The sequence below is a fragment of the Homo sapiens genome, chromosome 4 (assembly GCF_000001405.40).
Source record: "Homo sapiens chromosome 4, GRCh38.p14 Primary Assembly".
Lineage (NCBI taxonomy): Eukaryota > Metazoa > Chordata > Mammalia > Primates > Hominidae > Homo > Homo sapiens.
The window spans coordinates 42539962-42557271 of NC_000004.12; the positions used below are offsets into that span (position 1 = coordinate 42539962).

The following is a 17310-nucleotide window of genomic DNA, read 5'->3' on the forward strand; positions in this document are numbered from 1 at the left end:
ACTAAAAAGCATAGCAAAAGAAACAATCAACAGAGTGAAGAGAATCTGTTGAATAGAAGAAAGTATCTGCAAACTATTCACCCTAAAAAGGACTAATAGCCAGAATATACAAGAAACTGAAACAACAGGCAACAAATAATTCCCTTAAAAGGTGGACAAAGGACATGAGTAAGCATTTCTCAAAAGAAGACATACAAATGGTCAACAAGTATATGAAAAAAATGCTCAACATCACTAGCAATCAGAGGCAAATCAAAACCACAATGAGATGTATCTTACCCCAGTCAGAATGGCTATTATCAAAAAGACAACAAATAACTGATGTAGGCGAGGATGTGGAGAGAAAGGACCTCTTACATACTGTTGGTGGGAATGTAAACTAGTACAGCCACTATGGAAAATAGTATAGAGAGTTCTCAAAGAAACTAGAATTACCATTCAATCCAGCAATCCCACTACTGGGTAAGTACCCAAAGGAAAAAAAAAATCAATATATCAAAGGGGATACCTGCACTCACATGTTTATTGCAGCACTATTCACAATAGCAAAGATATGGAATTAACTTAAGTGTCCATCAACAGACCAATAGATAAAAAAAAAAAACAGGTGTATATACACACAATGGTATACTATTCAGCCATAAAGAATAATGACATCATGTCATTTGCAGCATCGTAGATGAAACTGGAGGTCATTATCAAGTGAAATATGCCAGGCACAGAATGACAAACATTGCATATTCTCACTTATATGTGAGAGCTAAAAAAAATATGATCACATAGAGGTAGAAAGTACAAACACCAACAGGGAAGGGTGAGACAGAGGGAGGAGGATGGAAGGAGGGAGGATAAAGAGGACTGGGTTAAAGAGTACAAACATACAGTATGATAGAAGGAATCAATTCAATGTTTGATAGCCCGAGTAGGGTGACTATACTCCACAAAAGATGTATTGTACTAAGCTGATGGACACTCTAAGTATCCTGGCTTGATCACTCTGCATTATATACATGTAACAATTTCTCATGTACCCCATAAATGTGTACAAGTAATAAAAACAAGGCTGAGACAGGAGGATCACTTGAGCCCAGGAATCTGAGGTTATAGTGTGCTATGATCACATCACTGCCCTCCAGCCTAGGTGACAGAGTGAGACCCTGTCTCTAAAAATAAATGAATAAATGAATAAATACAATTAAAAAAATAAAAAAGTAACTACAATAAAATGAACAACCAATTTAATAATGGGCAAAAGATCTGAAGATACCTCATCACAGAAGACATATAGATGTTAAATAAGCATATGAAAAAATGTTCAACATCATATTTCAGGGAACTGGAAATTAAGCCAACAATAAAATACCAGTACACATCTATTAGAATAGCCCAAATCCAAAACACTGACAACTTCAAACGTGGGTGAAGATGTGGAGCAACAAAAGCTCTCATTAATTGCTAATGGGAATGCAAAATGGCATAGCCACTTGGAAGACAGTTTGTCAGTTTCTTACAAAATGAAACATACTCTTACTGTAAGATCTTGCAATTATTCTCCTTGGTATTTACCCAAATGAGATGAAAACCTATGTTTACACAAAAACATGCATATGCATGTTTACAGTAGCTTTATTCATATAATGGCCAAAATTGGAAAGAGACCAAGATGTCCTTCAGCAGGTGAACGCATAAACTGTGGCACATCCAGACAATGGATTATTCAGTGCTAAAAAGAAACAAGCTCTCAAGCCATGAAAAGACATGGAGGAACCTTAAATGAATATTACTAAGTGAAAGAGGCCAGTCCAGAAAGGCTATATACCATATCATTCTAACTATATGACATTCTGGAAAAGGCAGTAAAAGGAACAGTGGGGACAGTAAAAGCAACAGTGGTTGCCAGGGCCTTGAGGGAAGAGATAAATGACTAGGCGGGGCACAGGGGATTTGTAGGGCAATGAAAATACTGTATATGATACCATAATGGTAGATACATGTCACTACACATTTATCCAAACCTATAGAATTTACAATACCAAGAGTGAACCCTCATGTACAGTCTAGGGTTTGAGTGATAATGATGTGTCAGTGTAGATCATGGATTGTTACAAATGTACCACTCTGGTGGGGGATGTTGATAATGGGGAGGCTATGTGTGTGTGTGATGGCAGGGTGTATATGTGGACTCTATCTTCTGCTGAATTTTGCTGGGGACTTAAAATTGCTTTAAAAATAAAGTCTATATGAAATATATTAAATTTTTTTTCAGAACAGCAAAAATATATGCAAGCTAATTCTATGATTATTAAAAATGGAAGTCCATCATTTTTTATTTTTTATTCAAAGCTTTAACTCCTCAAACAAGTTTCTAGGTAGAAGATGATTCCAAACTATACAAGAAAGGATGTGATTCGGGTTTTGTAAACTGGACATTTATCAACCATTTAAAGTGGAAGGTCTTAAAGGCTCTCTTTTTTAAAAAAAATTATTTATTTATTATTATACTTTAAGTTCTAGGGTACCTGCGCACAATGTGCAGGTTTGTTACATAGGTATACATGTGCCATGTTGGTTTGCTGCTCCCATCAACTCATCATTTACATTAGGTATTTCTCCTAATGCTATCCCTCCCTCAGCCCCCCACCCTGCAACGGTGTGTAATGTTCCCCTTCCCGTGTCCATGTGTTCTCATTGCTCAACTCCTACTTATGAGTGAGAACATGCGATGTTTGGTTTTCTGATCTTGTGATAGTTTGCTGAGAATGATGGTTTCCAGCTTCATCCATGTCCCTGCAAAGGACATGAACTCATCCTTTTTTATGGTTGCATAGTATTCCATGGTGTATATGTGTTAAAGTCTCTCTTTATTCCCTTATCACTGAATATTACTTTTGGGATGTGGAAGATCTTTACAATACACTTTAAAATTGTATCCCAATCTTCTTTTTATTTAATATTTCTCTGACTAGTCTAAGCTCCTGACAAGTCTTAGGTCTTATCTTCCTATCTCCAAAATGCAGTTCGAACTGTGATGGTAGAATGCATACAATGAAAAAATGTTAGGTGTTTTAATCGATGAGAATACAAAATCAAAAGAATTCTAAAACTAAATTCATGAGACATCATGAAATAATTCTACCAAAATGCTTTAAAATCAAGGCATTCAAAAATTGCATTTCATTGTCTTTAAACCAAGGCATTTAACATTCTCAAAATGAATTTAAATAATAGGCTTGAGCTTCTTAAGTTCAATTTCCGAGTTTCTATGAGACAAAGCAAGGTTGTTGACTCTATTCAAAATAGGAATGTTCCAAGTTGGGAAGGTTATAAACTAGGTAAATGGAAAGAACAGTTCAGAAGGAAAATGCTGACTCATCTCAATTAAAAAAAAGGGCCCTGGTCAGATTTCTCATTTTCCCATGAGTATAAATATATTTAACTGGAGAAATTCAGTTAGAATAACATATTACTATTTCTGTCAATATAAGCTGCCAATATACCAAAGCCATGTCAGAAATTGTTATAATTAAAACAATGCAAGACAAATTAGTCCCATGACATAATTATGGTAGTAACTGTGATCTAATTTTCCCCCATTTCTATGCTCTTAAAAAATTAGATTCAAACTAGAGTGAATCACATTCTAATACAATTTTTAAATATTTTCTGTATTTAACTGTCTTCTAACAATTTATATAGTATAAACCTCAAATATTATGTATCAAAAATTGAATTATAAAAATAACCTAGGCCAAACTTTTTCAAAGCACCAAATTTACCCAGAAGGAATTCCACATTTCACCAGAAGAGGCTGAACACTATTACTATAAAACACCAACAAAAGTGGATGTCAGCAACTTCATGTTAAACATCTGTGTTACATTTCCATAGAATGCCTAACATATACATTATAAACCATCATAAATTATAACTGTAAAAAATAAAAATAAAAACTTACAGCTCCTTTGCAGTAGAGTCGTAACTTTCCAGATGGAGTGCGAACAATCACTGACATTCTTTTCCTAGCACTGAAAGAAAGAGGTTTTGCATAATGTGTCATCATACCAAGGATATGCATGTATGTGTTTGTCATGCCTCACATATTTTGATATTCACAGTAAAAAAATAAATCTGACCAAATCATGAGCCCTAACCTTCCACATACACAAACTATCCCTTGGGTGTACAGCTGGGCACCTGTAAAAGTTACATTATGCTTTTAAGGCACCAGGGTACCATCTACTCTTCTAGTGGAATAGTTGACAAAATAGTTCCTAAGAAACCTACAAGAGCTCATACCCACCAGAGTAAAGTCCTAGTTCAATGTTTTCGGATTTGAAAAAATATTTAAGTTGGTTTCTTAAAGGATAAATTATGTTATAGTTTTTATGAAAAATAGAAATATCAATACAAATCAATTGTTATTAAAAATACAAATGACAATCAGTGACACCCCATCACACATGAAGGCAAATACTAGTACTTTAAAAAACAACTTAAGCATTCACAACTAGTTTTTCAATGATGACTAGCAAACCACTGGCATCATGCTAAAAACTTAATTTATGCAGCAAAATTAAGCTAAAGAGCACAAATATTTTAATACTGTTGATGACATAGTTTAATAAGAACTGTCTGTCAAATGTACATCTTTCAATGCATTAGTAAAAAGAGATAGCAAATAACACTGAATGGAAGAAACTGCGACAGCATTACAAAGGATAGGACTCATTTGGACCATGAGTGTGTAAGCATCCTCCTCAGAACTGAGGGCAGAAGAGGACTACTCAAATGTCTGTATCTATTTGTTTTACCAGCTAAAAAACTGAGATGAGTTCAATATGCAGAAGCAGTCAGTTATGGTATCATAGTGTACAGTCAGGAGTTTCTTTCAGAGGTATTTAGAAATATTTCAGTTCCCGGCCTGGCACGGTGGCTCATGCCTGTAATTCTAGCACTTTGGGAGGCCGAGGCGGGCGGATCACAAGGTCAGGAGTTCGAGATCAGCCTGACCAACATGGTGAAACCCTGTCTCTACTAAAAATACAAAAATTAGCCAGGCATGGTATCACGTGCCTGTAATCCCAGCTACTCAGGAGGCTGAGGCAGAAGAATCGCTCGAACCCGGGAGGTGGAGGTTGCAGTGAACCGAGATTGCACCACTGCACTCCAGCCTGGGTGACAGGGCGAGACTCCGTCTCAAAAAAAAAAAAAAAAAAAAGGAATATTTAAGTTCCCTCTTTCTTTATCCATAATGCTCCTGGTATTACTACCCCAGTCTCTATCCCTGTACATCAGGAATACATTTAATTGGGCCTCCTTTGTAATGACACCTATACATTCTACGTTAGCCCTTCCTGATTCATGCCTCTTTTACTCCAGCTTTGATAATGTGGTCCCAAACTCATCAATGTCCTTGCTCTTCTCTTTTCCTGGTGAAACCTCCAAATATTGGGTGAATGAGAACTCTCTTTTGTGTTACATCAAAGTAGGTAGATGTTGCTGAAGAAAAGTTACCCGGCCATAGAGACTAGCAAATACATGATATACAACACCAACTGGGTGCTCCTTACTGCCCAGTAACCCAGCACATTCCAACAAGCTTGCTCTCTTGCACTGTGCAGGGCTACAGCACACCTTCTCCATTCTCCAAGTCTCCCGCGTTCCCTCCTCACCCCAGAAGCTTGACAAAAATTCACCTTGATAAAAACCTCAGATAAGAAATCCCTTTTTGCCCGGGTATGGTGGCTTACGCCTGTAATCCCAGCACTTTGGGAGGCTGAGGCAGGGGGATCATTTGAGGTCAGGAGTTCGAGACCAGCCTGGCCAACATGGTGAAACCCTATCTCTACTAAAAATTCAAAGATTAGCCAGGCATGGTGATGTGCACCTGCAATCCCAGCTACTTAGGAGGCTGAGGCATGAGAATAGCTTGAACCTGGGAGGCGGAGGTTGCAGTGAGCTGAGATCGAGCCACTGTACTGCAGGCTGGGTAACAGAGAGACACTCTGTCTCGGTTTGGGGGTGGGAAGAAATCCCTTTTCTTTCTGCCATTAAAACCTGCATATCTATGTGTGCACCATCTCCTCCATCTTTTTTCCTGATATGATGGAAGAAACATTTTCCTCTTATCAGAGGCCTTCCTTACACATGCCTGTGAACCTCCTCTCATCTCACTTTCTCAGTAACCTCGGTCCAAAGGTTATGCTGTTCTCCCCAGAATCTGCCTCTTCTCCTTCTGTAAGGATCCTGGTGATAAGCATTTAACATACTCTGTTCTCGCCCCGCAGCCATAAAAAATGATGAGTTCATGTCCTTTGTAGGGACATGGATGAAGCTGGAAACCATCATTCTCAGCAAACTATTGCAAGGACAAAAAACCAAACATCACATGTTCTCACTTACAGGTGGGAATTGAACAATGAGAACACATGGACACAGGAAGAGGAACATCACACACCGGGGACTGTTGTGGGGTGGGGGGAGGGGGGAGGGATAGCATTAGGAGATATACCCAAAGCTAAATGACGAGTTAATGGGTGCAGCACACCAACATGGCTCATGTATACATATGTAACAAACCTGCACGTTGTGCACCTGTACCCTAAAACTTAAAGTATAATAAAAAAAAAAAAAACAAAAAAACTCACCCGATGCAACCACTCCTCCATTAAGCCACATCCCTTTTCAACTCTTTCACATTTCACCTTCTCTAAACCATCACTCATCTATCCCCTTCATTCCCAGTCTTTTCCTTTTTCTTCTCTCCTCACCATTACAATGAATAGCTACATTCAACAAATACTTCTCAAACTTCTTACCTAACCTTGCAGCAGTCTCCGACACAGATGACCACTCTCTCTTTGAATCCTCTTCTCCTGGCTCTGTGCTATGACCCTCTCTCTGTCCTCTACATCTTTAACAACAAGGTTGTCTCTTTTGCTGATTCCTCTTTTTCTAATCAACCCTTACCCTCATGGCTTAATCTTCAGCCTTCCATTTCCCCCTCATTTTATATCTTCTCTTCAGGAGATCCCATTCAGTTTTATGACTTCAAATACCACTTACCAACCACTGACTGCCAAATTGCTATTTCAGCCATAGATTTCTCTTTTGTTTCAGGCCCTTATATTCAACTGCTTGCCTGATAGCTCTGCTTGTATGTCTCACAGTCATCTAAAACCTAAGACTTCAAACATTTCAACCTCCACATCTATTCCTATTCCCACTTCTGCCATCTGTGTAAATGGTACCTCTATCTACCCAGTTGTTCATGCCAGAGACCCTCACCCCTTCCTCGTTTCGCCTTCTACTGCCAATCCCTCACAAAGTCTCTCAGATATTCCTCTACAAGGTACACGGATTCTATTAACTTCCTTTTATTTTCACTACCATCATCCTAGTCTAAACCACTAATGTCTTTCATAGGGACTATTTAACAGCATCATATTCACTTTTCTCATGTTCATTCTTAAACCCACCTTCATCATTGAGTCCTGAAAGAACAGAAACTCCCAACCCTGCTTTATTTTTTTCTTCATGGCACTCATCACCTAGCATAGTGCTTTCTAAGTGTGGTTTAAAAAACGTATCTAAATGGCAATTAATAGACTACTTAATGACAGTCTACAGATATAATACAAATAAGCTTGGGAAAAGCAATCACTCTGACATGAAAAGAAAGAGACGAGGAGTGCACTTTGAAAATACTCCATTCTGTTTATTCAATGTATTCATCTTCTTTGGGCTTTTCAGAGTATCTAAGTTAAAAAAAGCTTTAAATAATAAGTCAGACAGACTGCATTATTTTTGTTATTAACCACTGGCATATGGTCACTCCTAATCAAGACAGCAACAAAAGTTGGCACAGAAAGAGAAATGCCTTTCCTAAGCAATGTACAAGTTTGTCTTATGCAGAAGAAAGTTCAAGAAAAATGATGGACACTTATTTCCTTGAGCAGCAGCATTACTTCCTCATGGCCTTAATTCTGTGAAGTGTCCTGTGAATGGTCACGCAGTCTTTAAAGACCCTGCAGCAAGGGCCTCTCTGCCTCAAGAATGCAGGTAAGCAGGTTACATTGTCACGTGGGAGTAAGAGGCTGAAAACTCACAGGCTTATCACTGATTATAACTGAAGGGATCTATTATTCGACCTTAAGAAATAAAATAAGTAGGACAATCACTTTGCTTTCTGTCCTTTCCTAACAGATGGTAACTGGTCTTATACTTAACAGAGACAAGAATACGGTTTTTCAAATCCTGAAGACAATTAGATATAATGAGCATACAATTAGAATGCCGGCTTCCTGATCCCGACTCATCTCCACCCCACATAAATCTGATGCCTCTAAACATAATTGTGTTTCCAGATCACCAGCCATAAGACGCATGGCCGTATACGCTGGGCTTGTGAATCAGGCAGCTATATTTCAAAACGATTTCTTTTTCTAAATTTTAAAATTGATACACAGTATTTGTACATATTTATGGGGTATATGTGATATTTTGTTAGATGCACAGAATTTATAATGATCAAATTGGGGTGTTTGGGATATGCAAGATCTTGATTATTTAATACTTGTATGTCTGGGAACATTTTAAGTCCTCTCTTCTAGTATTTTGAAATACACAACACATTGTTGTTAACTATAGTTACCCTACTTTATTATCAAACATCAGAATTTACTTCTTCAACATAACTGTGTGTTCATACCCATTAACCAACCTCTCTTTATCCCTTCCCCTCCCACTCACACATCCTTCCCAGCCTCTGGTATCTATCATTCTACTCTTTACCTCCATGAGATCAACTTTCAAAAAGACTTTAAAACTGCAACCAGTAGTCACGCATTGCAATACTCTGAAGAAAGTGGTTTGTAATTTATCTACAGATAATGAGAATAAAAAATGTACTAAAGATTTTGATTTAATATTTTGTCTAAACAAATTTAGTTAAATAAAAACAAAACATACTTTCTAGTTATTCAAAAGGGAAAAAATAAAAATGGATATAAATTTATCTTATCCATACAAATCACTGAGCAGATGTTTTACCTGGTAAACTCCAAGACATTGAGCAATTCATATCTTTCTTCCTGCCCCAGCTAAGAAGAAAAGGAATATATAATTACATACAGTTGGAAAAGTCTTAAGCTTCTAGGAAATAAATCCTAGCCATAAAATTTTACTGTAAAAAATGCCAACACAAACAAATTTTCCCTGCTGAAATATGGAAGGGAGCTTACTAACTTTTACGTAAATTGAGTTACAGGAAACAGAAAATCCAAAACAGGAGAAAACCAAAAGGAAAACCAAAAAGTGTCACCGAAGAGTTCTTAGAATATAACCTGTCCAGACAAGAGAATGGAGGGCTTCAAAAGGGATGTCGTAAGGAAAGAACTGCCAATGAACAGATTATGTGGTGTGACTGTATTGAGAAAAGTATACTAGAAAGTATGGGAACAATTAATATAGATAATAGGGGGGAAAAAAGGGAAGCAATGAAACAAACAGGTAAGAGATTTATCTTTAGAAAATGATGGAAAAAGTGGCCAGGTCTGGTGGCCATGCCTGTAATCCCAGTGCTTTGGGAGGCTGAGGTGGGAGAATCAAAGGAGCTCAGGAGTTCAAGACCAGCCTTGGCAATATAGCAAGACCCCATCTCTATTAAAAAAATAAATTAAAAAAAATATCAGGTGCGGTGGCACATGCCTATCTATAATCCCAACTATTTTAGAGGCTGAGGCAGGAGGGTCACTTGAGCCCAGGGGTTCAAGGCTATGGTTAGCTATGACTGCACCACTGCACTCCAGCCTGGGTGACAGAGCAAGACCCCATCTCTAAAAAAAATAATTGGTGTTGGGAAACACAAAATTTAAAAAACAAAAAAATAATTACCAAATACAACGATGTTCAGCTATGAATACTGTACAGGTAAAATAGAAGGCAATACTACACAGAAACTAAATAATAATTTTTAAATGAGACAATTTATATATAATAAAATGCACAGACCTTTAACACAGAGTCAAATGAAAATTGTGCAGTGTGGTAATTAGCACCCCAATCAAGATATAAAATATTCCCATCCTATAAATCCCCTTGTGCCCTTTTCCAATCAACCTCTTCCCTGCCCTGAGGCAACCACTGTTCTGAATTCTATCACCATAAATCACTTTTTCCTGATCTTGAGCTGCATAAAAATGAAATTAAAAAGGATGCACTCCTTTGTGTCTGGCTTTTTTTTTTTTTTTTGCTCGGCATAATGTTTTTGATTCATGTTTTGATTCATTTTTCATCCATGCTGTTGATGAATCAATAACTCATTCTTTTTTATTGTTTAGATGTTCCATTGTGAGACTGTATCACAATTTGTTTATCCATTCTTCTATTGATGGGCATTTGGTTTGGTTTCTAGTTTTTGGCTACTCTGAATAAAGCTGATAGGAGCATTTTGTTCCAAGTCTTTTTAGAAACAGAAACTTCCATTTCTGCTATATAACTATGAGCACAATTGCTGGCTCAGGTGTAAGTTTACCTCAATTAGACAACTCTGTAAGGTTTTCCAAAGGGACTTTACCACTTTACACATCTGCTAGCAGTATATGAGTATCCCACTTGTTCTACACACTCATTAACATTTGGTGCTATCCATTTTTAAAATTTAGTCTTTAGAAAATAAAAGAAAAAGTGGCCAGGTGCAGTGGTTCATGCCTGTAATCCCAGTGCTTTGGGAGGCTGAGGTGGGAGAATCACTTGGGTAGGTATGTAGTGCCATCTCACTGTGGTCTTAATTGTATCTCCCCAATGACTAACAATGTTTTTTCACATGCTTATTGGCCATCCATATAGCTTCTCTTGTGAAATGTTGGCTCAAGTCTTTTGCCCACTTTAAAACTTGGGCCTGAGTATTTAACTAAAAATTGGAATAAAATCATAATAATTTGAGTATGAGGAAGGATAAACTAAAAGGATGGTGATTCAAGAGATACACCCTCATGTAACAGAATCAGAAGATACATTAAAATTGAAGAGTCAAAACATGTATTAATAGTCACCTTTATTTTTTGAAAATATGAGATGTATAAATGCCTAAAGAAATAGCTAAAAGAACACCCAGTAGTTGCTTCTGGAGTGGGGAACCTCTATTTTACTATGAGCCTTTTGGTATTACTTTATCTTTGAAGCTATGCAAATGTATTACTTGGATTAAAAAGAACCTTAAAAACAACTAACTTACTGAATCTATAATCACCGAGTCGGGTGTTCTTCCAGTGAAAACAAAATTCAATTGCTTGGCTGCTCTGACCAATGCTCCCTCATCTGTTTTAGAAAAAGAGGTAAAAGCAAACACATGATTGAAAAAAAAATATTCTCAGCACAAGAGAAGTACATTAAGGTAATATAATTTTCTGTTTAATTAAAGTTCTTTTTATTCTGGCTCATGTTATTAATCCAATTATTTTAAAATTACATGACAATTCCAAAGAAATGAGGATAATAATCTTAAGTGTTGGAGACACATACAGAACTCAGAGTTACATTTCCGAAATGTCAAGTCTCACTGTTAGTCACAAATTCCTAAGAAGCTTAATTTAAATGTACCCTTTCATCCAGTGTATTTGCTAGAAAACTTTCTCAAAAGGAATCAGAGAAAATTGCCTTCTAAACTTTTATCCTTTTCCTCCTAAAATGTTGAGTCTAGAGAAACTAATATTGCTAATTGAGGATTCAGTTTAAACAAGCTTTAAATGAACTAATGATTTTAATGTCTATGAATTTCATCATGTTAAATAAAACCTTTTTATTGCTAGAGTAGGGTATGGCATAAGAAAACATCACATAGTTTCTACCCTAATGATATGAGACATAACAATTCTTATGCTTTTAAGGAAGTTAGTATATCCTATAAGTCACAGATGCTGGCTTAGAATGCAGTTTAAAACACTTCTAACAAAGTTCTCATCAAACTGACTATCTGCCCAACTTTACATTGAAAACAGATCTAAAATTAAGCCTAAGTACTTAATACTGATAACTGTACTAATAATATTTTATGGAATCCCTTCAAATGCGTAAAACTTTCCTCACCCAAATAAATACACAAGCTTCTTTATTATCATTAACAAAAGAGGAAGGCAAAATTGGTGTTCTAAAGTTATATAAGCTTACTATATTCAGGCGAACACTTCTTCCTTTTCCTATTTGTACCTGTGCAAAATCAGCTTGACTAAGAGTTCTTAGGTATTTATAAAGAAGCGAAAAATTATTATGTGTATGTAAAAAAGTACATTTTTCACTTATGAGAATTACGTTATTCACATTTTCATGTAACTTATGTAATATGCCAAAAATTACATATACAAAGTTACACATTTTAAAATATCATGTACATATTTAACCTTGAAAGCCAAGGTTTTTCTAATTGGTAAATAAAAATTTTTATCTAAAAAACACTCAATTTGGCTATCTTTTTAAAATTAAATTGACTTTTACATTCAGAACAATTTTCCACAAAACAATACTTTACAATTGCTTCATTTGTACCTGGAGATGCTGCTTGATAAATAATCTTGTCACCTTCTCGCTCTGGCACTGCTGTGTGACAGACTGCCATCATTGTAAGAAATTCACATATTATAGGTGCAGTTGGCTGTGAAAAATAAACACATAATTTAAGCCCTTCTCATGTGAACATTTTGACACTGACAGTAATATTACTTCATGTCTATTAAGAACATAGTTGTTGGCCAGACATGGTAGCTCACACCTGTAATCCCAGCACTTTGGGAGGCCGAGGCGGGTGGATCGCCTAAGGTCAGGAGTTTGAGACCAGCCTGGTGAAACCCCGTCTCTACTGAAAATACAAAATCTGGCCAGGCGTGGTGGCAGGCGCCTGTAATGCCAGCTATTCGGGAAGCTGAGTCAGGAGAATCGCTTGAACCCGGGAGGCGGGAGGCGGAGGTTGCAGTGAGCTGAGATTGCAACATTGTACTCTAGCCAGGACAAGAGAGTGAGACTCCGTCTCAAAACAAAACAAAACAAACAAGATAAACAAACAAAACCCCATAAAAACATAGCTGTTATACACTGGGGGTGTGGGATTATAGCCAACTAAGAAGCCAACATCAATTATAAAGAAAATGTGTTTTTTAATTCAAATTATTTTTCTACTCTTTCATTCCTTTTCTAAACATTTATACAAGACAACTTGGTGTTGTCAAATAGAAATAGTATAGTGAGAAAGGCAGATGTAGCTGAATCTTGTCGTTGGAGGACAGGATAAAAATTCGAAGATGTTCATTTACCTAGTTGTAATTCCTGATCAGATTTAAATTTTAGGCATGCAATCTTACTGCACTGGGGTTATACTTTGCGTTGGGGTGATAATGATTGAGGATTTTTCTATAATGCTTTGTCTTTCCTCTCCAAAAATGGTAACTTTATTCATATTTTAATGAATCAAAAAATTATGAACAACTCCTATGTCCAGGGGACTCTTACAGCCTGAGAAGACAGAAGGGTGTATCCTTTCTGCACGGAGCTTAGGGTTTATAGGAGAGAAGCCAGATATTTTAAATTACATATCTTCCTGTCTGGCTCTCAATAAAGAGAAATGTCATTCAATTTAATAAAGGAAAAACATTTCTCTATGCTCTTGGGCAAAAAAAAAATAATAATGTGAAGTGACTAGGGAGATATATCAGAACATTATTTGAAAAAACTGTGTTCAAGCTAGAACAGTGGACTAAACAGACATGGTCCCTGCCATGTGAAGCTTGGCGTTGTGGGGAAGACCGAACACAAATAAATATACACGTATTGTTTACTTATAGCAAGACAAGCACTGTAAAGAAGGGAATATGCAAATATCATGTAATGTGACTTGAGCGAGTCTGTGGTTATTCTCAAGATAATGTAATATTTGAGCTGATGAAGTTTTAGCCTCATGAAGAATTGAGCAAAGTGCTTTCCATCAAGCAGGAAAGGTCGTAAAGAAGGAAAAAAACGATGTGTTTTAGAAAATAAAAGGCAGCCAGTGGGATGAGGAGAAAGGAGCTCAAAGTGAGGGTGACAGCTTAGGCAGGGGCCAGATCATGTTACTTTATGAGTGAAGAGAGAACGCAGAGAATAGGCTTAAACAGGATAGTGAGGGGACTTGATTTCCATTTGCATTTTTCAGCTGTCATGGGCAACAATAACTGGAGAAGAGTAAAAATGGAACCCAGGAGACTGGCCAGGAGGCTACCACAGGAATCCACAGAGTGGGTGCTGGCGGTCTGGACTGGGGTGGTGAAAATGAGGATTAACTGCAGCCGACACCCAAGATAGATTCTAGCAATCAGTGCCAACAAGGACTTGGTGACTCAGAGATCTGGACATGGAGAGAAAAGAAGGCATCAAAGACAACCCTCTAATTCCTAAGAAGAGTCACAAGATAGGTGATGGTATGATTTACTGAAAGCTGAGAATCCAAGAGGGAAGAGGTGGTCTAGGGCTAGGCTTTGTAGATCCTGAAGTTAATATTTTGTTGAAGGCTCGCGCAGAAAAGAGAGATACAAAAACACCCCTAGCAACATACTGATAGGGCCCCACTTGGGCAAAAGTGACAAGTCCACCTGTGCTAGAGAAGATGCATATTTGAGGGTAACAATCATGAGTTCAAGTTGGGACATACTGGGTTTGAAGTGGTTATGAGAAAAAGTTCCGGGGTTTAACTCCAGAAGACTCTATAACTTGATCTTATGAAAACTGAGTGTCAGTGTGATGGTTAATACTGAGTGTCAACTTGACTGAAGGACGCAAAGTGTTGATCCTGGGGGTGTGTCTGTGAGGGTGCTGCCAAAGGAGATTAACATTTGAGTAAGTGGGATGGGGAAGGCAGATCATCTAATCAGCTGCCAGCATGGCCAGAATATAAAGCAGGCAGAAAACTGTGAAAAGGCTAGACTGGCTTAGCCTCCCAGCCTACATCTCTCCCTTGCAGGATGCTTCCTGCCCTCAAACATTGAACTCCAAGTTTTTCAGCTTTGGGACTTGGACTGGCTTCCTTGCTCCTCAGTGTGCAGATGGCCTATTGTGGGATTGTGTGAGTTAATATGACTTAATAAACTCCCCTTTGTGTGTGTATCTATCTATCTATCTATCTATCTATCTATCTATCTATCTATCTATCTATCTAATCTATCTATCTATCTATCTATCTATCTATCTATCTATCTATCTATCTATCTATCTATCCTATTAGTTCTGCCCCCCCCTAGAGAACCCTAATACAGTCAGTAACTTCATAAGCAGGATTTTCACATTGGGTGGCAGAAGCCAGAGTTTCTATTGTATATTTAGCCTATGGTACTGAGCAGATAACTTATTTCTATAAGTTATTTCGATAACTTATTTCTAAAATTGTTAATATTGAATTGTATCACAGAAGGTTCAATAATCATTTAAAATGAAACAATTTGAAAAGACAGAATATTGATGAATGATAATATTAAAATCAAATTAATAACCACCATGAATTAATGTTGGCCAAGTAAAAAGGATTTGGCATAGATTTTGATAATTATTAAAAATGATAATGAGGCCAGGCACGGTGACTCATGCCTATAATCCCAGCACTTTGGGAGGCTGAGGGGGTGGATCACCTGATGTCAGGAGTTTAAGACCAGCCTGACCAACATGGCGAAACCCTGTCTCTACTAAAATACAAAAATTAGCCGGGTGTGGTGGCGAGTGCCTGTAATCCCAGCTACTGGGGAGGCTGAGGCAGGAGAAATGGCTTGATTCTGGGAGGCAGAGGTTGCAGTGAGCCAAAATCACGCCATTGCACTCCAGCCCCAGCGACAGAGTGAGACTCTGTCTCAAATAACTAACTAACTAACTAAATAAATAAATAAAAGATCATGAAAGTAAAAAAAGAGAAACATGTAAACATAGAAGATAGTTCAGAGAAACATTCATTAGTTTTTATTCACTAACAAAAAGACAATGGTTTTATGTAACTTACATGATTATTTTGGAGATTTTCCAGCAATGATGAATCACTAAATGTTTTTTCATCTCCAAACTGTGAGTTCTGCCTGAAGGGGGTAAAAAATAGAGTAAACCCAGTTCATTTATACCAGCCCACTGATCTATTTGTTAATGTACTTTATGAGTAAAGTGTTATGTCTCCAAACCCTCAATAAATTAAATGTAATTTGGCCTGCATTTCTAAGTAAGACATCACAGATTTCATGATTGTATCACAAAATATATTCAAGCATTCTAAAATGTGAAAGATGTTTGCAGTGTAATGAAAAATAGTATTTTACAGTTCATTTTTTCTGGAGTTAAATTATATCGCAGCCACATAAAATTTGTAAAAATATAAAACTAAAACTATTAAAACACCTGGAATTGAATTTCTTCCACTTCCATAATATTTTCAATTTTTAGGATTCTAAGAATTAACGAAAGCTATTATACAAAATATTCTTCTATTTGAGTCATGAGAAATCTTTATATGTAGTGATGAAAACCATATGAAATATAAGAACATGAATAAACCATTTACAGATTATATCAACATCTATCATTAATATCTGAGCAAATATTTATAAACATATTACATTTGTTCTGTAAATATAAGAACAAATAATAAAAGTATGGAATTTTTGTGTTGTGGCTATCTTCAGATGAGCAAATGTATTATGTACTTCATACGATATAAATGGAGTCAATTATCTCTGCAAACTAGCTATCATTTATCTCACGGCCATACAATTTAACATAAAAATACTGAGATTCAAAGGAAAAACAAGGAACACAAGTGGGAATGTCAAAAGAAAAGGGTATAGTTTGCAAAATTTAGTGAAAATATATACATTTGAGGTTTAGTGCACAGAAGAAAATTTCAGATTTCACTGAGGGAAAAAAATGTGTCCAATACTAAACAATTATAATCCAGAAAGCTTTTGATCACAACATTAACAGGTTACAAAGAGTATTATCAATGTCAACATGTCAGATATCAAGACTGTCATATTGTAAAGGCAGCAGCTTGACAGGACGGAAAACTCTTTGAAGAAAACAGAATTTGAAAGGAGAGAACATACATAGTATCTTCAATGAAACACATTTCTCCAGTAAACTTAAGGAGGAAGTTAGAATGTTTATAATGGAACACATATCTACATGTAGTAACTTGCTCTATTAAGTCTCCAAATCGTAAGAAAATACATCTTTATTAGCAGGTAGTAGTTTAGAATGATCAAAATACCCTTGGGGGCCAAAGTGAACACGTCATCATCATCATTATCATTATTTCTC

The 17310-nt window shown here is 36.7% G+C and overlaps 1 protein-coding gene across 12 annotated transcripts in view; it reads right to left on the reverse strand.

Moving 5' to 3' along the window:
- The window catches only part of ATP8A1 (ATPase phospholipid transporting 8A1), a 248733-nt gene that overhangs the window by 131589 nt on the left and 99834 nt on the right, over nt 1-17310 (reverse strand). For all 12 annotated transcript variants that reach the window (NM_001400027.1, NM_001400026.1, XM_047449508.1 and 9 more), the window contains 5 exons: nt 16007-16079; nt 12544-12649; nt 11237-11319; nt 9052-9101; nt 3956-4025 (listed from right to left, as the gene is read on the reverse strand). In NM_001400027.1, coding sequence (NP_001386956.1) covers nt 3956-4025; nt 9052-9101; nt 11237-11319; nt 12544-12649; nt 16007-16079 — 382 coding nt within the window. The remainder of the gene's footprint in view (nt 1-3955; nt 4026-9051; nt 9102-11236; nt 11320-12543; nt 12650-16006; nt 16080-17310) is intronic.